This window comes from Homo sapiens, chromosome 18 (assembly GCF_000001405.40).
Source record: "Homo sapiens chromosome 18, GRCh38.p14 Primary Assembly".
Taxonomy (NCBI): domain Eukaryota; kingdom Metazoa; phylum Chordata; class Mammalia; order Primates; family Hominidae; genus Homo; species Homo sapiens.
In genome coordinates, this window is record NC_000018.10 from 26,414,590 (window position 1) to 26,439,151 (window position 24,562).

At 44.8% G+C, this 24,562-nt stretch overlaps 2 long non-coding RNA genes across 3 annotated transcripts, besides 1 other annotated feature; both read left to right on the plus strand.

Annotated features, from left to right (window-relative positions):
- Window positions 1-1,867: 1,867 nt before the first annotated feature.
- On the plus strand, window positions 1,868-4,326 carry LOC107985142 (uncharacterized). Of its 2 annotated transcripts, none has more exons than XR_001753381.2 (3): window positions 1,868-2,266; window positions 3,073-3,345; window positions 4,112-4,326. It is a non-coding gene; the product is annotated as an uncharacterized LOC107985142 (long non-coding RNA). The 2 variants fall into 2 exon arrangements; XR_001753382.2 differs by lacking the exon at window positions 1,868-2,266 and adding an exon at window positions 2,847-2,972.
- Window positions 4,327-8,405: 4,079 nt separating this feature from the next.
- LINC01543 (long intergenic non-protein coding RNA 1543) lies at window positions 8,406-23,455 on the plus strand. Its single transcript, NR_110762.1, has 4 exons — window positions 8,406-8,730; window positions 10,359-10,538; window positions 11,292-11,401; window positions 23,301-23,455. It is a non-coding gene; the product is annotated as a long intergenic non-protein coding RNA 1543 (long non-coding RNA).
- Window positions 18,490-18,619: an enhancer, noted in NCBI's record as "active region_13183". NCBI's record gives its function as "activates an Ori minimal core promoter by ATAC-STARR-seq in GM12878 lymphoblastoid cells {active_cell/tissue: GM12878}" and the evidence as "EXISTENCE:reporter gene assay evidence [ECO:0000049][PMID:35858748]".
- Window positions 23,456-24,562: the final 1,107 nt, after the last annotated feature.

Genomic DNA, 24,562 nt, shown 5'->3' on the forward strand with positions numbered 1-24,562 from the left:
TGGGCTTTCACTCTCACCTTTGCTTGGTTTTCAGTCACTTACTTTTTTTTTTTTTTTTTTTTTTTGCCAAACTCATCAATGCTTTCTGTATATCAGCATTGTTCATTATTTTCCATATGAGGATAGGCCAGAGTATCTTCTCCATCAGACTTCGGGAAGCTACAGTCCTCTCGACAGTTACTATTCTAGTTCCTATTCCCAGAGTGCCAATTCTTGCTAGACAAAGTTTTGGGAGTTTCTAACTTCATTCACCTGAATGTTCACTGCTATTTAAAATCTTTTTCCTCTTGGCCTTGACCCCTGGCCCTCTGCTTTCCTACAAGTATGGAGACACCATCAGGTATGAGTTCTCTCCTCTCCTATCCTCTCTACTTTACAATACCTCTTTATCCACTTAATCTTTCCTACTTATTCTTCCCCCCAAGTCTCCCTTGGAGAATTGCCCCTCCTTTCTAAGGCCAAATCCTCTACCCTTGCTATGAATTCCATTTTTGTGGCCAAAATTCCTCTTTCTTTGCTCATGATCTTTTGCCAATTATATTCTTACTAATCGTTCAAGGCTGAGTTTAGTACTTTCTCCCCTGTGATGCCTTTTGAAATGTCCCTTCCCCCTTCATCCCTAATTTCCTCTCGACTCCAAGAGCACTTTGTTATTAACATAACATTAACACAGGACTTACACTGTTGTAAAAGGGAATTATTTGCATAACTGTCGTTTCTCCTTCTAAATTGTGAGTTCCTTAGAGAAGACACCATTTTCTGCATTATTTCTTACTGTGCGAAACATAATACTTTGCATATAGTGGCTCATTGTAAATGCTTCTTGCCTTCCTTAGAAATCAGTCTCTTCAACAATCTCTTTTCTTTACTCTGTCTTCATTTTCACTAGATCCCTCCTTTCTATGGTCAGACACATTCGAGTATTTTGGAACTTGAAGGGAAAGAAAAAAATCTCTGCTTAATCCTGCTATTTCCCTTTTTATCTTTCTTTTTCTAAATATCTTAAACATATGGTCTGTGACTTCTGTCTTCTTTCTTTACCCTGCATCTTTCTTTAACCGTCTGTAATCTGACCTCCACTCTCACCACTCTACTTAGACTACACTCTTAAAAATGAGTTTCCTTCCGATTACCACAGCCATGTCCTATCTGCAGCTTCTGTTTGATACTCTGAGCACCCCTGGTGGGAGAGCGACCTCTGCCTAGTGTGGCCCTGGGGTGCTGCCAGGGTCTCCTGCCCTCTGACCACTCTTCCTCCCCTCCACCCAAGCCTGTTCTCAGCTCACAGCTTTCCTTCCTATACTGAGGGACCCCCGCCCCACGTTTGTGACTTTAGCTATTATGGATGGGGCTGCTTTTCGCATCTTCATTCTCCTTCCCTAATTTCTTCGAAAACCAAAATCTGAATTCTTAAATTTTTTCCAGACATTTTCATTTGATGCCCCTCTGCTCAAGAAGGCTCCCTTTCCTCAATATGTTCATCTCTTCCATCACTTCCTGGTTCCTTTAGGCTCAACAATCTCAGTTTTGTTTGATCTTTCCCAATTTCTTACTCCTCTCTTTCTCACCCCCTGTGAAGGTGGCTCAGCCTCCACAAAATCTCTCTCGATTCCAGCTGTCTTTGCTTTGGTTTAGGACTCATCCCTGGATGAGTGCACCAGGCTCCCTGGCTATGCCTCTGCTATCAGGTTCTTTCCTTTCTCAGTCCTCTTGCATATCATTGCCTAATATTATAAAAATTCCATTCAAGGTCTGATGGAGGTCTATGGAAAAAGATGATGGATTAGAGAATCCGACAAGTCAGGATTTGAATCCCAACTTCACTACTTACTGGCTGTGAGGTGTCAGTTTCCTTCATTTCTGTGAGAGGAATGACACTCATCGCATAGGATTTTAGTGAATATTAAGTAAGGCAATCTGTTAATAATAAAATTACCTTTCTACATGTTTTTATTTTTAACAGATCAATAAGCATTTTCAGAGCAATTAGGTCATTTCTCCAAGGTCACAGTCTATAAAGCAGAGCAGGGTTTTTCACATATCTCACAAGGCAAGGTGAATATAAGCTTTAAATTTGTCTGTATTAATTAATGAATCCATATTCCTAATGCCTAGTAACAAATCCTACATTCACTCAGTTCTTCAGGAGCCAAGAGAAGATACTGATCCTGAGGGGGCTGGAGCAGCTCCAGGTCAGTGTCAGGGGCTGAGACCAGCATTGGAAGAGAAGGCGTGCGGCTTAGCATGGAGGCCAGGAGGGGAAACGGTGAGGAGAGAAGAGGGCGTCCCAAGATGCCCTGCCCAGCATGGCTATCACTGGAAAATGAGAAAGGATGTGGAGCTCATTGTGTATTTTTATGACGTTGAGCGGATTTAATCCTTTTCTGCCTAGGGCTGTTCACTCTTCATGAATGTCTTGGGGATTTGGCCAATTGTGAGAATGTTTCTGGTGATATTAAACCTCATTTTATGAGGTTGGCGGCCATTACTTTCAAACCATAAATCTTATCCTCTAAAAAAATGAGAATGATCCCTTCGAAAAATCCCACTTGATGATGAGAAGTTTGGTCGTGGAAAATACATAAAATTCGGGATCCCCTTTTTTTGCCTCAGGCCTGAATGTGGGCTGGGGTCAGGCATTCGGAGCCGTGTGAGGGGCTAGAATCTCAGGAAAGCCTCTCTGACTGATGCTACGGTGGAGCAACGAGAACACTCGGTGGCATAAACTTTCAGAAAGACAGTAGAGAAAAAGGAAGGAGGATGCACCCCAGTCCATGACACCCGCCCTGCACGTTGTTAGTTGGGGTCACGTGTCCAGCTTCTCCAATATGGCGGCTGCGTGGCCCTGGCCCACTTGCTGTACTCTCCTTGTGGTGTGGCCAGAACTGTGGCTCTCCTTTCACCTCACGCCCTCAGATCAATGGCTGTCGGTGGCCATTCATTCAGAACTCCCTCAATAAGAGTATTTTGTGGTAAATTTTGTTTGGGGGATGCTGCAGGTTATTTTCCGCTTCTGGAGATTCCCAGTGAGTATCAGAAGTTTTGATAAAGACTTTTTTTTTTTTTTTTTAGCAAAAAGCCAGCAGAGCCAGCTGCTTGGACCCAGGGGTCCTTGGTTGTTCCCAGGGCCCAGGTCATGCCCTGTAAGAGTGGAGCTTATGAAGTTACCCACACACCTATCTCCAGAGACTCTCATTTCCAACCTGCTCGGGACCCAAGAAGGCTCAGTTGTTCAGATCTAAAAACGCATTACATAATTTTCCTCGCCATTCATTCTTCTATATGATAGCAGGGAGAAAATCCGCTTTCGTGCCTTGACAGATGTGCGGTTGCTAATTTAACTAGGTAAAGTATGGTTGAGGGATGTCAAACCTGAGGCAGTGTTCTTGGGACTAGCTTCCATTGTTATGGCCCCTGAAGACACTTGCTGACTTAAACAGGGCAGGGGCCGCAGGGATGGGCCGTTGTGCTCAGGAGAATCTCTGAGGCCCCCACCCAGGCCCATTGCTAGAGGCCAAAAGACACAGATAAAATCCATGGCAGTGAGTTCACAGGAGACACCTGGTGCCACTGGGCAGGATCTCATATGGGGTCTTGGGGGAAATGAAAACAATAATTGTATGAAAAATCAGCCTTCCTCCCCAATCATTGCTAACCCCTTGCCATCTCTGAATATTTCAGTTTTAGAATATTTCTTTTAGGGAACTGGGCAGAAATGACAGGAGTTAGCCCATATTTGTTAGACCTTCCCTGTGTGCCACATATGTTTTTAAAAAGGCTTCATGTCCATTTTCCCAATCATGGCACTGCTGTGACTCGTGGCAATGGAGTATAATGCCCATTTTACAGATGAGCAAATCAAGGCTTAGCCCTCCGTGAAGCCGTGTGCCTCCAGAGCCCAGGCTCCCCCTTTCTGCCTGTTCTGCCTCAGGGTAGTTTTTGAGTCTTCCATGGAGTCTTCTACACATTCCAGTGGAAATGTAAGCACCAGAGAAATAACCTAAGAAATCGCACTTACCTTTGCAAGGCTGCCACCTTCCCTGCTGCCTTGTGGAGAGGGCCTGGCTAGCTTCTCAGCACCATGAGCACAGCAGACCCTTTTTCTTTCCAGGGCTGCTTGGAGGAGGGAAGATTCTGTCCTGCTGCGGGCCCTGCTGTGCAACTCAACTCATGACCGATCCTGCAGATCACAGGAGACCCCGCAGTGCTGGAAGAACCCAGAGCTCAGGGCAAAGGGGAGCTTCGAGCGCTCCTAAAATATAGGTCTTCGCCTATCATTTTAAAATGAGGTTTCTTTTCTTCTCCCCAGCTTCTGCTTTCTCCTAGGTATGGGGTAAGAGAATTTCTTTTTTCTTTTGAGACAAGGTTTCACTCTGTCATGCAGGTTGGAGTGCAGTGGCACAATCACCACTCACTGCAGCCTTGACTTCCCAGGCTCAAGCAATCCTCCCACCTCAGCCTCCCAAGTAGCTGGGACTACAGGTGTGTGTCACCATGCCCAGCTAATTTTTTTTTTTCGTATTTTTATAGAGATGAGGTCTCTCCGTGTTACCCAGGCTGGTCTTGAACTCCTGGGCTCAAACGATTTGCAGGCCAGGCCCTCCCAAAGTGCTGAGATTACAGGTGTTAGCCACTGCGCCAGGCCAGTAAAAGAATTTCTTAGGAAGTTTTGGGATGAATTTGGCCACTTTTGCTGTAGAATATGTAGAAGGAGAATTTAAAAACTTCTTTGTTGGCAGGACTTAAACCTTCTGTGTTGCTGTTCTGTTTGTAAGGGCAGTGCCAGCTCCTGACCCCAGTGGTGAGTTCCGTGCCTTCTTTCCCGGCTGCAGGGAGGGACCCTGGATCATTGACTGGGCCTCACCATCTGGAGAAGAGATTCTGGAGAAGTTGTCTCTGGAGTGAGTTTCTGTTTAGTTGGATAATTTGCGTATTTAATGACATACAACTTTTTTTTTTTTTTTCAAAGAAACAACCTTGTCAATATCCCACAAAAGATCAAAATATATATTTTAAAATCTTACATTTGAATAAAAAGTAATATAGCAATAATATAAAGACACTCCAAGTACAATCCAAGTATGCTAGGTTAGACTGGAGGTTGCAGTTGCTTCAGGCAAGATTCATACCCTGAACTGCACCAGGCAAGCAGCTTCCCAGGCCAGCAGCCCGTACAGTGACACCGGGCCCCCCATCAGCACCCTGCACTTGGTTTAATGCTCTCATGTTGCCGCTGTGACATTCTGAACACTTTTTGAACAAGGGGACCTTCGCTTTCATTTTGCTCTAGACCCCATGAATGGCGTAGCTGGTCCTGCTCTGCTGGTTCCCTGTTCCCTGCAGAATGAAATCCAGATGCCCTCCACGTCCATCCCCACTGCTGGGGGAACCCCTCTAGGCAGACAACATGGCCCAGCCGTCGTCACCCTGAGGTCTGGCACGGTGCCTGGTAGGACTCAGCCAGTATCTGAGGACTAAAGGAAATTTTGTAAAACACCATAAAAAGGCTTGTTCTGTATCCAGATAAAATGGAAGCTCTTTCTATCCTCTCAAAATATCCCTTTTTCAAACCAAACTCAATTTCCTAGCTAAAAGCCATTATCAAACACCAGGCTCACCTCTTGGTTGTACACGCGGGTGTTTATTAAGGCCACCCATAAACTTAAAACACCTTCTTTCAAATCTGACTTCTTTCATTTCTTTTTGTGTTATTCTTGTAGTGGAGCTTCAGTTTTTGTTAAAGGAAGTCTGTCTCTAATGTACTGTTTCAGCACAAGTTTCTTTTAATTGACTAACTGAACACCCCAGGGTAAGTGGCTGTCCCAGCCTAAGGAGGATGGGCTGTAGGCTCTTGAATTGTCCTGGTCTCAGGGCAACTTTTCCAGCAAGAGCAAACACAGGGCCTACGGCCTACAAAAATGTTTTAACTTAAAATTCTTTTGAAATCAGAAGAAGTGATAAATTTGATTCATATATATAATATGTAACATGTAAACCCAGCCTGGATTATATTTGTCTCCTGCTCTGCTGTGAATGTCCCCACCGAAACTCATGTTGAAACTTAATCCCCAATGTGGCAGGATTGAGGGGTGGAGCCTTTAAGGGGTGAGTGGGTCACAAGGGCTCTGCCCTCATGAGTGGATTAATCCATTCAAGGATTAATGGGTTAATGGATTATCACGGGAGTGGGACTGGTGACCTTATAAGAAGAGGAAGAGAGACCTGAGCTAGCATGTTAGCCCGCTCAGCCCCCTCGTGGCGTGATGTCCTGCAGCAACTCTGCAGCATCCCCACTAGCAAGAGGGCCTTCACCAGATGTGGTTCCTCAACCTGGCACTTCTCAGTCTCCGTAACTGAAAGAAATAAATTCCTTTTCTTTATAAATGACCCAGTTTCAGGTATGCTGATATAAGCAACAGAAAACAAACTAAGACATCTTCATATCAATGCAATTGCAAAATATATTTGTAATGTTTTTTGGAAGAAAGGTCTTATGAAGGCAAAGATGCCTCGGGGCCCCAGAAGTCACCATGCAGCTCTGCGTGGTCAGCATTACCTATGTTACTGGACCCCTCACAGCTTCTGCCCTCCGGCTCTATCCACAGCAAGAAGGTAAGCCAGTTATTTTGTTTGTTTGTTTGTTTGTTTGAGATAGAGTTTCACTCTTGTTGTCCAGGCTGGAGTGCAATGGCATGATCTTGGCTCACTGCAACCTCGGCCTCCCGGGTTCAAGTGATTCTCCTACCTCAGCCTCTCGAGTAGCTGGGATTACAGGTGCCCACCACCATGGCTGGCTAATTTTTGTATTTTTTTAGTAGAGACGGGGTTTCACCATGTTGGCCAGGCTGGTCTCAAACTCCTGACCTCAGGTGATCTGCCCACCTCAGCCTCCCAAAGTGCTGGGATTAAAGGCATCAGCAACTGCATCTGGTGGTGAGCCAGTTTTGAAGGTTTGGTGACAGTGGGTGGGAAAAGTGCTCTGTGATTTCCCATCCCCCAGAGCAGCCTCGCGAGAGAACACCACGTTATGATAGTGGCTTCAGGGACACAGGGCTGCTCTGACTGCCAATCCCATGAGGTCGGAGGGCCTTCAGAAAAGCCTGAGGTGGTCAGGTCAGCGCTCAGCCCAGCCTGGGTGCCATTTCCTTTGGGTTTACACATTGGAGCTGCCCCAGCCCTCCAGGTGAGGCACAGAGTGGGGTGCATACGCCCCTTCCATGGGACAAATGCCCTCTCATAGCCTGGGGACCCAGGCAGCTCTCAGGAGGAGTCTTTGCTGGCTTGGATTCCTATCAGACAAGCTTAGTTTGTGCATTTTTTGTTTAGGAAAATTCCTTTTAACCTCTGGATTTGTGACGTCCTGAGAAGTGTGTATTAAACAGAAAAGGTTCTCTGTGCCTCATGAATACATTAATTAGCGCCTCTGTATCCTAGGGCAGCAGGTGCCTTGGGACAGATGTCATTAAACAGCTCTGAGGTCAAGCGCATGGAGCAGATGGTGCACTGGGCACAGGGAGGCAGCCCCGTGTCCCTGCAGGGGCCCTGGACAAGCACCTAGGCCATGGGTCAAGGTCTCCGCTCCAGCTCTTCTAGCTGTGGGTACAGGACCCTTTCCAAGTACTGTCTGGAGGCCAGGTTCTGGGCAACAGATCTTCGTGTACTTTTCATTTTGACCCTCGCCACAATCCTCTGAGAAGGCAGATGAGGAAACTGATCTTTCGAGAGGTTGCAGAGACGTGTGCCAAATCGTTCAATGGGTGACCCTCAAGTGGCCTGGTGGCTTCCTGCTTGCTGTCTCCATGTCCTGGGCAGCTGGCATTCCCAGCACCTCCTGAAACAGCCCACATCTATGCTCAGACTGCCCTGTGCTCTTGCGCCATTTGTCCCTCCCCCTAAAGACTCCCTTTATGCCCAATACAAAGGAAGAACAAGGGGGACAGGACCCCTCTCCTCCAGCACAAGCATAGCACAGCCCGCTGTGCAGGCTCTGAGCAGGATGCTGAGAGAATGCAGGACAGACCCAGGCACCTGCAGACCCTCCTCCCTGTGAGGTCCCACCTGCCCCACATGACACTGTGCAGTTGCCTGTGCCCCTTAGCATAACCAAGGTCAGGCACTGGTCCCAAGGTCACACAGGGCCAGAGCTCAGATTTAAACAAAGCTGAGTGATTCTAGAACCTGTGTGTGCCAAAGCACTGCATTCTACCTAAGTGCTGGGTTTTTTGTTTTTTGTTTTTCGTCTAAAACAGCCTACAGAATCCTGGCCTTGGCTTTCTCACCAGACTTCTGGGAAGGTCAAATGAGATAATATATGCAAAAGCACTCTGTCAGTGAAAAGTGCTCTGTTTCTGGTCTAATAACCCTCCCCAACCCACTCACAGTTCTTCATTTTCAAATTCCTTAGTGAGCAGTTGGTTTCGTTGTCTTAATTTGGGGCAGTAATGATTTCTGAGAAGCAGGTGATTGATAACGCGCAAATTCAAAGCCCCTTGGGGGCTGCATTGTAGCATGGTGTGGGGATGGGGAGACAGAGGGCTGGTAGGATCCCGAATTCCTAGTTTTTCTCTCCCTCTCCCTTGCTTCTTCATTTTCTTCCTTCAGGCTTTCTTCCATTTCTTTCTTCCATCAAATATTTGTGGAGCTGGAACTGGGCTTCACTATCATATTCCAAGGCCCTGTACTGGGAACAGACAAAGAAGCTCCTCCCAGAGACTGGAAGAATGGTACAAGGTGAGTGGACAGGGAGGTCAGCCGCAACCTGTTATTCTTTCACATGGAAATCTGAAATAGTGGGATCATTCTCTTATTTTTTTTCAGTTATTCTAAATGTAGACCTCTGTGTGGAGGTGAGATAAGATGGAAAGATGAGGGGATGAGGAGGAAAATGGTAACAGAAAATCATGATTAGTGACTTTTTCCCCGGAAAATCACTCTGTTGGTTTATCTAGCTGAGCCTTGGGGTCTTTCAAAAGTTGAATCTAGATCCTTAAGTCCAGTGCCTTCCAGAATTTCCACCAAGTGGCCCCGGAGGCAGAAGAGAGTGAATTACTGTCCCCAGAGGAGACTCAGACTGAGCATGAAGCTGCTAGACACATGGGAGATTTCTCTGAAATGTCTTTTGTGATTTAGAAATTAATGTAATTTTGGCATGCTTTTCATAACACAACTGTTTGTTTTAATATAAAAATCAGCCTTCCAAGAACACATAGTGTATGATTCTATTTATATGAAATGTCCCAAACACGCAAACCTGTAGAGATGGAAAGTAGATTCGTGGTTGCCAGGAGCTGGAAGGACTGGGTGGTGGGAGGTGGCGGCCAAAGGGAATGGGTTTCTCCCGTTTGGGGTAATGGAAATGATCTAAAATTGATGGTGGGGATGCTGGGACAACCCTATGAATACATTAAAAAGCACTGAATTGTACATTTTCAATGGGTGAATTGTATGAGATGTGAATTATATCTCATAAAGCTGTTTAAGAAAATGAAAAACTGTTTCTTCCAATCTCCAAGTAAAATTGGCATTCTGGGAAGATGAGTAACTTTTAGCTTTTTGCCGCTGAGTAATGGGCCTAAATGCACCCATCTGAAAAGCAAGATTCTGGTCCAATCCATTAATCTATAGAAACCTGGGAAGGTGATGTGACTTGCCCAAGGCCACACAGAGTAGGAAGAAGAGCCAGGTTTCCTGAGTCCCAGTCCAGGACAATGAGGTGCACCTCCACGTGTACTGGGCCTGCCCAGTTGGTTCAGCCACACACGCTCCCTGGCCCGTGTCATTAGCTCTCTTCTATGGGCTTTCTCTGGCTTGCCACACCCTAGATGTCCTCAAAACAAGTGGCTATGCCTGTAGATCCCTCATGCCCACCTTGAGTGGCAGGAGAAGGCAGGGCCCCACCCATTCCTGCCTTTGGCCCTGTTGAACCAAAGGCCAGCTCTGCTTTGAGATGCTTTGGGAGTCAGATGCACTGTCTGTTTAATCTTGGAAGAGCCAGTGGTATCTGGATGGATTCTCAGCCAGGGCACTTTTATCCTCCCTGCCCGGCATTGGGCAAGCTGTGAAAGTGAGCTTTAGGATCAGACGTGAGGATGGATCATGTAGGAACCTGCAGCCCCATGTCCTCTCCTTCTCCAAATGACTTCATGCCAGAGGACCCACAGATGTGTCCAGAGAATGGCCCGGCCCCTTCCTGCCACACCAGCCTCCTCAGTGAGGGGCAGGCTCAGATGGTCTCTGGTAACCTTGGGCCTCCCTTCTGTGTGGTTCTATCTGGTTCTGACATCCAGTCTTCAATGAGCTTCTTACAAAAAAGTCTTGTGAGATAAGCAAGGTGAATGCTGTTTACTTTCATTTTTCAGGTGTGAAAACCAAGGCTTAAAGCATGCAAGTTATTTGCCCGAGGTTTTTCAGCCACAAATGAAGAAGCTGGGTCTGCTCCACACCTGTGAACCAGGCTATTTCCACCATAACCTGAACTCAGATGAGCACCAGCCCATGGAGAATAGTCCAGAAGGCTGCCCATAGCCTTAAAGGACAGTGTGAGCATTAATCACAGCCTGTTGCATTTGAAGACCACCTCCGGAACAATGTCGTTTTAAATCTATGCCCAAGGCTGAACTTGGATTGGAAAGATGGGAGAGACAGCAGGCCTGGGTGTATTCAGGATTATTTCCTAATAACTCACTCTCTCCTCCCTCCTCCCTTTCTTGAAAGTGAGTGGTTAGGGATGAGCGGTTGCAGGCAGAGATGACAGCATGAGATATTTCACCAAAGAGTGGGTGTTTAACCACCACTTGTCTAGGAGATGGGCAACATGTCCCAGAGATGATTCTAACAGGGAACTCTTCCTGGCAGAGTCCAGTGAAGGGAACCAGGAAATTCGGGGGCAGGGCAATCCCACTCTCTCTGTCAGGTGAGATCACCTGCGCAGTGGTTTGAGTTCAGGCATCTTACTTTCTTTTAGTTAGATTCATAGGATTAAAAATTATCTGCTTATCTAGTCCAATATTTTTAAGGCATGTCAAAAAATCTGCAGAATCCCCCCCCCCCCTTTTTTTTCATAAGAAATATACATAAATCTGAGAAAAAGCAGAGCTGGAAAAAAAGTGGGGGCATCTCGGAGGATGAACTACCTGGAGCCCCATTCTGGCAGCTCTTGAGAATTCTGGAATTCCTCTGGAAACTACTGATTTAGTTTCTCATTTCCATTTGAGAAAACAAAATATAATAATAGCGATCAAGGTTATATTTTATGGAAGTCTCACTGTGTATGCGTCTTTTTATTCTTACAGCAGCCTCACAAAATGAGTGTTATATTCTGGATTATCAGAAGAGAAATGTGAGATGCAGGCAGGTTGAGAAAATTGCTCCAAGTCACTTCGGGAATGTGTGCATGGACAAGGTAGGTCCACCTGGGATTGTTCAGCTGCAAGATCAACACAGGGCCAAGTCAGAAAACACAGATTTCCCATCAAACCTGGGTTCTGTGAAAATAAGATCTTAATGGAAACTCAATGTAAATGTGTTTTTCTACCTCTAAAAGAGCCACCTTTCCTTGACACCTACTTTGAACAGCAGAAGGGCCTTGACTGGTGAGATTCTGTAATGTATGTGGCTTTTGGTATCCTAGAGGAGATGTCGGCAGTTTGCCCTCATTGAGAAAAAAAGTCAGGCCAAGTCCCCAAAGTCACCTTGAAGCTGCATGCATCTATCCCTGATTCAGATTCATGTTGTGGCTTAGAAATGACTTCAACCTAGTAGCTGGCATTTAGGCAGGAAAATCAGCATCATAGAAAGTTAGGAACTTTGGGCCGGGCGCAATGGCTCACGCCCGTAATCCCAGCACTTTGGGAGGCTGAGGCAGGCGGATCACCTGAGGTTGGGAGTTCGAGACCAGCCTGACCAACATGGAGAAACCCCGTCTCTACTAAAAATACAAAATTAGCCAGGCGTGGTGACGCATGCCTGTAATCCCAGCTACTCGGGAGGCTGAGGCAGGAGTATTGCTTGAACCCGGGAGGCGGAGTTTGCGGTGAGCCAAGATCGCACCATTGCACTCCAGCCTGGCAACAAGGGTGAAACTCCGTCTCAAAAAAAAAAAAGAAAGAAAGAAAGTTAGGAACTTTGGAAGCATTCTGTCCAATGTCCTCATTTTACAGATTAGAAAACTGTAGGATGGTGTAGCAAAAAAAAAAAAGAAAAGGAGGAGAAAGAGGAAGAGAGCATGTCCCAGTGGGCCAGAAGCCCCCAGCTGCATGGCATGGTCATGGGCTAAGAGCGCCTGCTTTGGAGAGAGTAGTGGTAACAGCAGCCACAACTCATTCATCAGCAACTATCCATGAGAACTTACTGTATGCCAGATACTGTACTGGGGGTATGGGATACACAGATAAACAAAACATATGGCCGGGGTGCTTGGTGGCTCATGCTGTAATCCCAGCACTTTGTGAGGCTGAGATGGGAGGATCATTGAGGCCAGGAGTTTGAGACCAGCCAGGACAACATAGCGAGACCCTCCATCTGTAAAAATTACAAAAAAAACACAACTAAATAAAACAAAAAAAAAAAACCAAAACATATGAAGATGCCTGTCCCTGTGGAGCTCACAGCTAGTAAGGTGAGCTAGACATCAAAAAATAATAATACGAGTCCTGGAGCAGTGGCTCACACCTGTAATCCCAATACTTTGGGAGGCCAAGGTGGGAGGATTGCGTGAGCCCAGGAGTTTAAGACCAATCTGGGTGACATGGTGAGACTTCATCTCTACAAATAATAAAAAAATTATCTGGGCATGGTGGTGTGTGCCTGTAGTCCCAGCTATTTAGGAGGCTGAGGTGGGAGGATCGCTGGAGCCCAGGTGGTAGAGGCTGCAGTAAGCCAAGATGGTGCCACTGCACTCCAGCCTGGGGGACAGAGCAAGACCTTGTCTCTAAATAAATAAATAAATCATAATAAGAGAAATTGCTTAATGGATACAAGGTATATTATTCAGATGATGGTTACACGAAAAGCCCAGACTTCACCAAAAGCAGTATATCTATGTAACAAAACTGTACTTGTACCACATAAAGCTATACAAATTAATAATAATAATGGTCTTCAAGGTTTGTTGAGTATGCAATCCAGGAGTGTAAAGTTTTTGACAACATTCCTCCAATGTAAATCTAATTGTTTCTAAATTATCTACATGTGCTTCTATAGTATTATATATGTTTAAATATACCCCCAAAATAGAAAGTATTAATATATATAAATAGAAGTTGTAATTTGCTTTCCTCTCTCAGTTGGACTATGTTATAAATAGGTCTGGAGCACTCACTTTGGAGAGCTCTGGACCAGGCAGCCACCCCACGAGCTGGGACATTAAGGAGTCCTGAGAACAGATGTTTAGTTTTAGGATAAAAGAGAACTGAGCTCCACTCCTCTTTTCTTCTATCATTGCTTCATTGAATTTTAAAAATTGTAAAATACACATAACATAGATTTTACCATTTTAACTATATTTAAGTGGACAGTTCAGTGACACAGAGAATATTCACAATGTTATGCAACCATCACCACCATGCCTCTCCAGAACTTTTTTTTTTTTTTTTTTTTTTTTTGAGACAGAGTCTCACTCTGTTGCCCAGGCTGGAGTGCAGTGGCGCGATCTTGGCTCACTGCAACCTCTGCCTCCTGGGTTCAAGCGATTCTTGTGCCTCAGCCTCCCAAGTAGCTGCGATTACAGATGTGTGCCTCCATGCCTGGCTAGTTTTTGCATTTTTAGTAGAGATGGGGTTTCACCATGTTGGCTAGGCTGGTCTTGAACTCGTGGTCTTAAGTGATCTGTCTGGCTCAGCCTCCCAAAGTGTTGGGATTACAGGCATGAGCCACCGCGTCTGGCCTCTCCAGAACTTTTTTATCTTCTAAACTGAAACTTTGTACTCTGTACAGAAGTACTCCCCATGCTTCCTTCAGCCCCTGGCAACCACCTGTCTACTTTCTGTCTCTATGAATTTGGTTGCTCAAGGTCTGTGTCTATATTCTAGGCCTATTATTAGTTTTAAGCTCCTATGATGCTCCAAGTAGAGCTTTGGCATTTAGGATTCAGTGGTGAGCAAAGCAAATGAGGATTCTACCCTCCAACCTGCCTCAGTCTGCTTTAACTAACTTTATGTGTTTTGGTTTTTTGTTTTTTTGAAACGGAGTCTTTCTCTGCTGCCCAGGCTGGAGTGCAGTGGCGTAAACTCGGCTCACTGCAACTTTGCCTCCCAGGTTCAAGCAATTCTCGTGCCTCAACCTCTGAGTAGCTGGGACTACAGGTGCACGCCACCATGCCCGGCTAATTTTTGTATTTTTTAGTAGAGATGGGGTTTCTCCATGTTGGCCCAGCTGGCCTTGAACTCCTGGCCTCAGGTGATCCTCCCACCTTGGCCTTCCAAAGTGCTGGATTACAGGCGTGAGCCACCATGCCTAGTCTGCTTTAACTAACTTTAACTAGCCTAACCTAGTACTGCTTTAGGTTAGTCTTTGGAGAGGCAAGGAGGTGGGCTATATCCAAGCTTGTGACAAAATGTGATAGATTTGGTGAGAGCCACAGCAGATGAGAGAAGAGGGGATGGGAGAGTTGAGACTGGAATTGAGTGAGATATAAAAAGTGACTATGGTCCTGGTGCAGTGGCTCATGCCTGTAATCCCAGCACTTTGGAAGGCTGAGGCAGGCAGATCATGAGGTCAAGAGTTCGAGACCGGCCTGACCAACATGGTGAAACCCCGTCTCTACTAAAAATACAAAAATCAGCCAGGCATGGTGGCATGCACCTGTAATCCCAGCTACTCAGAAGGCTGAGGCAGGAGAATTGCTTGAACCTGGGCGGAGGTTGTGGTGAGCTGAGATCGCGCCACTACACAGCCTGGGCGACAGAGCGAGACTCCATCTCAAAAAAAAAGAAAAGTGACTATGGGGAAAGATAAATATCCAGGGAATTCCTCAGAACTTGGGGGAGAGATGGGACTTCCTGCACTATGAAGATTGGGGTTGTATTTATTTCAATTGAATGCTATAGGAAAAGATGATCCCAAAAGTGCGTTCCCTGATGGACATAGGAACATTAGGGTGTCATCAGTATTCATAACCTTGGAATGACTCAGGACTCAGAGCCTGGGAGGATCAGGTTTCAGGCTGGGAGGAGAGAATATGAGAGGGAGAGGCTGTGCTTCCCAGGCTAAAGCTTCGTTGCATGGCTGACAGCCTGCCCACACTGGAGTGGATTACACACTCTGCTCCCTTCTGCCTGCCTTTACCTTGGGATAACATATACATTTCCAATTACAGGGCTGGTTAAAAATCAATACGAAGGTGGGAGAAAACAGATCATTTTTCTTATGGAAGTAACTGTTTTCATTAATTTTTCATTAGTGCTGCCTTTGTTTTGCTATCCATCACTGGCAGAGCTGTGGCCTGCATTTCAGCTAGTGTGCGTGTTTCTTGGATTCAGGAGATACTGATTGATAAAGCCAGCAGTTTAATGTTCATGACTACTGATTGTGGAACAGGTTTAGGCGACTGGTTTTTAAAAATATTTTTGATTATTAAGTTTTATAGGTACATAGTCAATGTAGGTATTTATGGGGCACATGAGATATTTTGATACAGGCATGCAACGTGTCATAATCTCATCAGGGTAAATGGGGTTTCCGTCACCTCAAGCATTCATCATTTCTTTGTGTTATGAACATTCCAATTTTATTCACTCAGTTGTTTTAAAATGTGCAACAAATTATTGCTGATTGTAGTTACCCTCTTGTGCTATCAAATACTAAATCTTATTTGTGGTATCTAACTATATATTTCTACCCATTAGCCATCCCCATTTCCCATCCCTCTCTCCCCACTATCCTTCCCAGTCTCTGCTAACCATCTTTTTACCCTCTATCTCCATGAGTTCAATTGTTTTAATTTTAGTTCCCACAAATGATTGAGAACATGCTAAATTTCTTTCTGTCTGTGCCTGAATTATGTCACTTAACATAACATCTTCTAGTTCCATCCATGTTGTTGACAGGATCTCATTCTTTTTAATGGCTTAATAGTACTCCATTTTGTGTATATAACACATACACCTTTTTTGTTGTTGTTTTTGAGACAGAGTCTTGCTCTGTCTCCCAGGCTGAAGTGCAGTGGTATGATCATGGATCACTGCAGCCTCCACCTCTCAGGCTCAAGTGATCCCCCTACCTCAGCCTCCCAAGTAGCTGAGACTACAGGCGTGCACTGGCTAATTTTTTTTTTTCTAATGTAGTGTAGATACAGCGTTTTACCATGTTGCCCAGGCTGGCCTTAAACTCCTGAGCTCAAGTGATCCTCCTGCCTCAGCCTCCCAAAGTGCTGGGATTACAGGCGTGAGCCACCGCACCCTGCCCATAACACATTTTATTTGTCCATTTGTCTGTTGCTGGACACTTAGGTTGCTTCCAAATCTTTGCTATTGTGAATAGTGCTACAATAAACATGGGAGTGCAGATTATCTCTGTTCAATATACTGATCTCCTTTCTTTCGGGTATACGCAGCAGTGGGATTGCTGGATCATATGGTAGCTCATACGGTAGTTTTGCAAGGAATCTCCATACTGTTCTCCATAGTGATTGTACTAAGGGGAGTGTATGAGGGTTCCCCTTTCTCTACATCCTCCCCAGCACTTGTTATTTCCTGTCTTTTGGGTAAAAGCCAATTTTACTGTAGTAATTGTAGTACAAATTTTATTGTAGTTTTGATTTGCATCTCTCTGATGATCAGTGATGTTGAGCACCCTTTCATATACCTGTGTGCCATTTGTATGTCTTCTTTTGAGAAATGTCTATTCAAACCTTTTGCCCATTTTAAAATCAGATTATTAGATTTTTTCCTATTGAGTTGTTTGAGCTCCTTATATATTCTGGTTATTAATCTCTTGTCAGATGGGTAGTCTGCAAATATTTTCTCTCATTCTGTGGGCTGTCTCTTCACTTCGTTGATTGTTTCCTTTGCTGTGCAGAAAATTTTTAACTTGATGTGATCCCATTTGTCCATTTTTGCTTTGGTGCCTGTGCTTGTGGGGTATTACTCAAGAAATCTTTCTCCAGTCCAACATCCTGGAGAGTTTCTCCAATGTTTTCTTGTAGTAGTTTCATAGTCTGAGGTCTTAGATTTAAGTCTTTAGTCCATTTTGATTTGATTTTTGTATATGGTGAGAGATAGGGGTCTAGTTTCATTCATCTGCATATGGATATCCAGTTTTCCCAGCACATTTATTGAAGAGACTGTCCTTTCCCCAAGGTATCTTCTTCGCACTGTTGCCAAAAATGAGTTCATTGTAGATACATGGATTTATTTGTGGGTTTATTCTGTTCTATTGGTCTATGCATCTGTTCTTATGCCAGCACCAGGCTGTGTAGGTGACTGTTTAAAGATCACTGTGTTTGTCAAAATGTGCTTAAAAGCATCATGTTTCCACTCACCAAAGCTTAGTCCATATTCTGTTGTGGAAATTCTGTTTGTAGGCTAAGTATGTGTTGAGATTGCATCGTATTTATCTTCAGGGGTGTATTGAAGCCAAACTCCTCACGGATACTTTTGATGTTGATTGTTTTTACAGGTCCATTTGGCTGGTGCTCTTCACTAAGGGAAGCCAGATTTGTACCCCTGAGCTCCCCATCTTGGATAGGGAGCAGGGGGAGAGAGTTTCTTGCGTCTCTGTGCATGTGCTTGCCTGTGCTTTCAGTGGGGTGATTCTATCCCTAAACCCTTCCCTTCAGTTCTCTGACCTCAGCCTGCCCCATTCTCTCAGAGGCTTAAGGAAGACTTCTCAACTCCTCACCTTAGCAGGATTGCTTGAGTTCTGCTTGTGCCGTCAGTAAACCTTCTCCCCTCTTTCGTACTCTGGTACTCATCTCTAGTGTGTCATCTACTCATGTGAGTCTCACCTCACCAACCTTAAGTTATCTGAAAACAGGGATAGTGGCTTTTTCTTTTTGGATTTTCAGCACCTAACAGCACCTGGCCAGTGATAAGTGATTGACGAATGTTTATTAAATGAAGATACAACTGGAAGTCATTCATTTGTTTTGAGTAAGCAAGGGTCAGAGCCTTCATTAGCAGTGATGGGAGTCAATGGTGGGAAGTGATGCAGGGTCGTGCATTTGAGGAGGCTCTGACACCACCCCAGTTGACTTATTCTATTGATGTAAAGGAACTATGTGCTGATTCCAGCTCTGTGACTAATTAACCATGTAACCATGAATAAGTCACTAACACTGTGTCCTCATCTATAAAAGGGGGTTGTCCCAGATCTAACATCCTTGGCCCAAGAACATCTACCATTGGAAAAGTATTCTCCTATATTCTTACTCCTCCAGCTGAAATGATGGACGAGCCTTCTGAGGTCAGCTCCCTCGGCTGGCTACTGCCATCCTTCTGCTGGCCATGGAACTGGCTCTCCCTCCTTCTCAGGCATTAGGGCTTAGGGGCTTCTCTGGAGCTAGGACTGCATCTGTGTTTGTTAACTGAGCCCCTCAGCCTGCTCCTTGGCCTTCCTCCATCGTACCTCTGACTCTTTCTTGTTTTCTAAAGTTCATTTACATATGACTTCATTTTGGACTGCCACCCTCATATAAGACACTTTCCTCACCTCAGAAAATTCCCCTAACTCCTTTCACGAGCCTACCATGCTCTCACTCCTGTACCCTAGTAATATCTATTCTGACTCCTATTATTGGAAATTAGTACTTCTGGAACTTTATATAAATGGAACTGTACAGTATATATTTCTTTGGTAGTTTGATTTTTCATTAAATGTAATTTGTTTTACTAAATAAAAGTTATTTTACTTTTAACTTTTATTTTAAGTTCAGGGGTTCATGTACAGGTGTGTTACATAGGTAAACTTGTGCCATGGGGGTTTGCTGTACAGATTATTTCATCCCCCAGGTATTAAGCCTAGTACCTATTAGTTATTTTTCTTGATCCTCTCCCTCCTCCCACCCTTCACCCTCCAATAGGCCCCAGTGTATGTTGTTCCCCTCTGTGTGTCCATGTGTTCTCATCATTTAGCTCCCACTTATAGGTGAGAACATGCAGTATTTGGTTTTCTGTCTCTGCATTAGTTTGCTAAGAATAATGGCCTCCAGCTCCATTAATGTTCCTTCAAAGGACATGATCTTGTTCTTTTATATGGCTGCATAGTATTTCATGGTGTCTATGTACCACATTTCCTTTATCCTATCTGTCATTGATGGACATTTAGGTTGATTTCATCTCTTTGCTATTGTGAATAGTGCTGCAATAAACATATGTGTGCATGTTCCTGCCTGCCTTTCTTTCCCTTTTTGCCTGCTTGCTTGCTTTCTCTTTCTTTCTTTCTTTCTTTGTCTCTCTCTCTCTCTTTCTTTCTTTCTCTTTTTCTTTTTTTGAGATGGAGTCTTGCTCTCTCACCCAGGCTGGAGTGTGCAGTGGCACAATCTCGGCTCACTGCAACCTCCACCTCCTAGGTTCAAGTGATTCTCCCCACTCAGCCTCCTGGGTAGCTGGGACTACAGGCATGCACCACCACTCCTGGCTAATTTTTATGTTTTTAGTAGAGACAGGGTTTCACCATGTTGGCCAGGCTGGTTTAGCCAGGCTGATCCACCTACCTCGGCCTCCCAAAGTGTTGGGATTACAGGCGTGAGCCACCATGCCCAGCATGCCTTTCTGATAGAACACTTTATATACACTTTTGGATATATACCCAGTAATGGAATTGCTGGGTCGAATAGTATTTCTGTTTTTAGGTCCTTGAGGAATCGCCACACTGTTTTATACAATGGTTGAACTAATTTACACTCCCACCAGCAGTGTGTAAGTGTTCCTTTTTCTCTGCAACCTCTCCAGCATCTGTTATTTTTTGACTTTTTAATAATAGCCATTCTGACTGGTGTGAGATAGTACCTCATTGTGGTTTTAATTTCCATTTCTGTAATGATCAGTGATGTTGAGCTCTTTTTCATATACTTCAACATAATTTTTGAGACTCATTCATGTCACTGCATATATCTGTAGTTGATTCTGAGTTGTATTTTGTTGTTTAAATAAACTACAATTTGTTTATTGATACTCTTGTTGGAGGACATTGAGTTGTTTCTGGTTTTGGCCCCTTTGTATTTCTAACTTCTTTTACATTTAGCCATTTCCCCTTAATTTCTAAATTTAATAACATCATTTGGAAATTCATCCCTACTTACTAGCTGTGTGATATTGAGCAGGTTACTTTAGGCCCTCTGAATTACGGTTTTCTCATTTGTAAAATGGGATAATAATAGTATCTTTTTCATAAGATTGTTTTGAGTATCAGGTGGGATTACGTATTGAAGCACTTAGGATATTGCCTGGAATATAATAAGCACTCTATAAAGGTTTGCTATTATTTAGGAAGAACAACTGAACTGTTGTGAGGATTAAATGGGTCACACACTATTAATACCCACACAGCTGTGATGCAAGGGTTACCCAAGGAGGGTGGAGTTTGAACCTCATTCTTACTGCTCACATCCCTTCTTACAAACATCATGCGGACTCCCTTGTAACCCTGGTGTTCATGCTTTTTACTGCAAGAATATGAGGTGATATGAATCCATATGGCCATTTTCAAATACTCAAACTGAAAGAAAAATTCTCACCCTAACTTGCTGAGATTGTACCCTCTGCAAATACAATGTTAGGAAGTGCTGGAGTAGAAAATATTTCTAATCATTTTGGATATCTATAGAATGTAGGAAATAATCATTATATTCAATGATTCATGTTAAGGCATGCTATTTTAATAAAGTGAAAAGTTTAAAAAGAGGGGAAAGGCTCCATATATCTCACTCTGCCATTCCCTCTGGTGACTGTCATGTCTCTTTTCCTTCACAATAAAAGAAGAGTCTGCAATTGCTGTCTTCTCCTCCTGGCTTTGATTTACTTCTCAGCCTGCTGCAGTCTGGCTCCGGATCCCAGAACACCACAGTCGCCTTCTCTAGGGTTGGCAGTGGCTTTGGAATTGCCACACCTAATCTACGTGTTTCCGCTCTATCCCTATCTGACCTTTCTTGGGTGTTGGACATTCTCATTCTCTCCTTGAAACTCTCTCCTTTCCAATTTCCCACACTATTTTAGGTAGGTTTTCCTCCTCCTTCTTTGCTGTTCCTTCTGGGTCTCCACCCACCTCTCCTGTTGGAGGCATCTCCAGGTGCATGTCCAGTCTGTCCACTCTCCCTGGGCGTCCTCAGCCTTTCCTTGTCAGTTATCACTCCAAATCCCCATGTTTAATCTCGGCTCCTCCCTGCAGTGCCTGTGGCTTGCTGCCCCCATCTCTGGACATGCAGTTATCCACAGCCATCTCCTGAGCCGCACACCTCAACTAAATTCCGTGGAGAGTTCTCACTGCCTGCCCCACAAATGCAAGCTTCCTCTTGACCTCCATTCCCTCTTTTTCCTAAGGGCTCTCAACCCTTGGGGAGCCTGAGGTGGAAACTTTGGAATTATTTTGACTGTTTTCTCTCCTTCACCACCCACATGTAATTGCTCATCAAATTCTGTTGTTTGTACCTTGGAAATATCTCATGATATTTACCGCCTCTTCTCCCTCCCAATTGCTTTCATTTATCGTGGCTCCACAGGACAGCTGGAATCATCTCCTGATTGATCTCTTCTTCAGGCTCTGCAAGCTCCACTTCCTTCTCCACTTTCCCACAAATATAGTGTTTCTTAAAAGCAAATCTGGTTGCATCACACTGCTGTTTGAAAATGCCAATGATTCCTTGTTGTCTATGACTCATTCCCACACTGGGTCCTCAGGGCCACCTGGATGTAGACTTTTGGGTCCCACCGTAACGACTCTGAATCAGTCTGTGGGGCTTGAAAAGCGGCATTCAGGAGGGCCCCCATCCTAACTTCTCCTGATGCTGGGTGTCCCTGCTCTTTTCCTTGCCTGGCCCTGCCCCACAGGGAACTTGGCTATTCTTCCTGTACTCAGCATCGTGCTTTTCAGGTGTCTGTCTTTGCACAGGCTACTGTCCCTGCCTGAAACACCCTTTGCTTCCCACTTTCCTCCTCTTGTCTTTCTGGTGGGCTCATCCTGTAAGATTCTGCTCCTGCCCCAGCTCTGTGAGACCTTCCCTGGATTCCCCAGGATGAGCTAGTAGTTTGTTCCTGCCTCATGTTCCCAGAGCAGGCTGAACAGCCGTGTCAGGCAGGGCATCTATCAACTCTGCTGTGGTTGTTTCCCACTGGCCTCCCCTTGCTGGGAGCGCGCCCCACCAAGGCAGGGCACTGTCTCCTGGCTGCCTCCCGCAGCCAGGCAGTACATGAATGAGCCTCCCTGCTTCTTTCTGTCTTATTTTAAGCACTGCTTGTCAGCTAGCGTGATGGGCAGAGCTAATAGTAAGTGTGTTGTTTTGCAAATGTTGCTTTAGTTAGGACCTCTAGCTTCTCTGAGTCAGTTTTGAAACATTTTATTTCACTTACTTTTTTATTTCAGTAGAAGAAAATTAAGGAGGGGTTGAGGAGGGGCAACAGGAAGGATAATTCAGAGCCTCCCTTGGGCGCCTTGTCAACCCTGTGCCCATCAGTGCTGTATTACCTGGGCATAATGAGAAACTTCCCTATTTCACTGTAAGGAACTTCCAAGGTGAAAAGCTTCACTGAGGTAGTCCTCCTGGTTTCTAGGAGATAACATTCATTTCTTCAACTAGCCGGGCGCTGCAGCCTGCCTGATCTTTGTAGCCTGGGGAGGCCTCACTGCCTGGGAAAGGTGACGTCTGGAAGAGAAGAGCTGTCTGGAAAGACAATGGCAGGGTCAAGTGCCCCTTTGGAGAGTGTGGTGGGACAAGCCAGGAGTGAACATTTCTTATCGGGGGCTATGCCTTTTCAATTAGTAGTTGGAGCTGGGCACAGTGGCTCACACCTGTAATCCCAGCACTTTGGGAGGCTGAGGCAGGTGGATCACTTGAGGTCAGCAGTTTGAGACCAGCCTGGCCAACATGGAGAAATTCTGTCTCTACTAAAAATACAAAAATTGGCTGGACATGGGGGTGTGTGCCTGTAATCCCAGCTACTCAGGAGGCTGAGGTAGGAGTATCGCTTGAGCTTGGGAGGCAGAGGTTGCAGTGAGCTGAGATTGTGCCACTGCACTCCAGCTTGGGCGACAGCATGAGACTCTGCCTCAAAAAATAAAATTAAATAAATAAATAAATAAATAAATAAATAAATAAATAAATTAATTAATTAATTTGTAGTTGACCTTGGTTTTATTTTCCCACTCACAAGGAAGCAGGAAGATCCCAAGGAAAAAGAAGCAGCATGAAAAATGACAAGAAGACTACAACAGAAGTTTCTACGAACTTTGCACACACAGAAGAGGGTTCTTTTAGTTTTAGTCAGGATAGGAAAAGGACAAAATAAAAGTGAACATTTATTGAGCCAGGCCCTGTCTTCTACTTGTGTTAATTCGTTTGCTCAGATCCTCGCAGGAGCTCTGTGAGGTAGGCACTGATGTGATTCCCAGTTTTTAGATGAGGACTGTGAGGGACAGAGAAGTTCCCTAACTTTCCCAAGGTCACACAGCCAGTAAGCAGGAGACAGGGATCTGAACCAACACTGGTAGCCATGGCGCCACAGCTTAGAGCAGTCAGTGTAATGTGACTGGTGGCCAAGACAAGGCAGACACACGTCACTGCTGTTTTATTTCTGCCTTCCTCATCTCAGAGAATGGACTTCAAATTGGAAAGGGTGGAACAAAGTATGGAAGGAACTGGACCTCAGGACAGGGGCAGAGTGTGGGCTGGCCCCTGGTGGCTTACCTGAATTGGAGCTTCTCGGTTTAGATGAAATACATTTCCAGATAAGGACAGACCTGTAGATGTGTTAACTACTGAGATTTCCCGGAGAAAGTGGAAGAGTGGCAATGGAATATCAGTAACAATAAAAAATCAGTAACTAGGAACAAAATCAACAATGTTCCTAGTTATCTAAAAGGGTACAAAAACATCTAAAATCAACTATTAATGGCACCTTTTCTGCATTATGTATTAAGTGGAATTTTTACTTTTATTTTTAGACAGAAGCTTGCTCTGTCACCCAGGCTGGAGTGTGGTGGTGTGATCTTGGCTCACTGCAACCTCCACCTCCTGGTTCAAGTGATCCTTGTGCCTCAGCCTCCCAAGTAGCTGGGATTACAGGCATACGCCAACACACCCAGCTAATTTTTGTATTTTTTCTAGAGACGGGGTTTTGACATGTTGGCCAGGCTGCTAGCAAACTCCTGGACTTAAGTGATCCGCCCACCTGGGCCTCCCAAAGTGCTGAGATTACAGGCATGAACCACCGTGCCCTGCTGGGTGGAATTTTTTAATTGCAAATAATATAAACCAATTTATATAGCTTAAAGAAAGTGGAGCTTACTCCGACAGTACAGAGCTGTCTCACAAAAGTGACAGCAGGGACCCACCAGGCCTCAGGAGTCAACCAGAACCAAGAAATCAACTGCTGTTGTTGCTGCTTCTGCTGTACCCCGGCCTCTGAATTTTCTC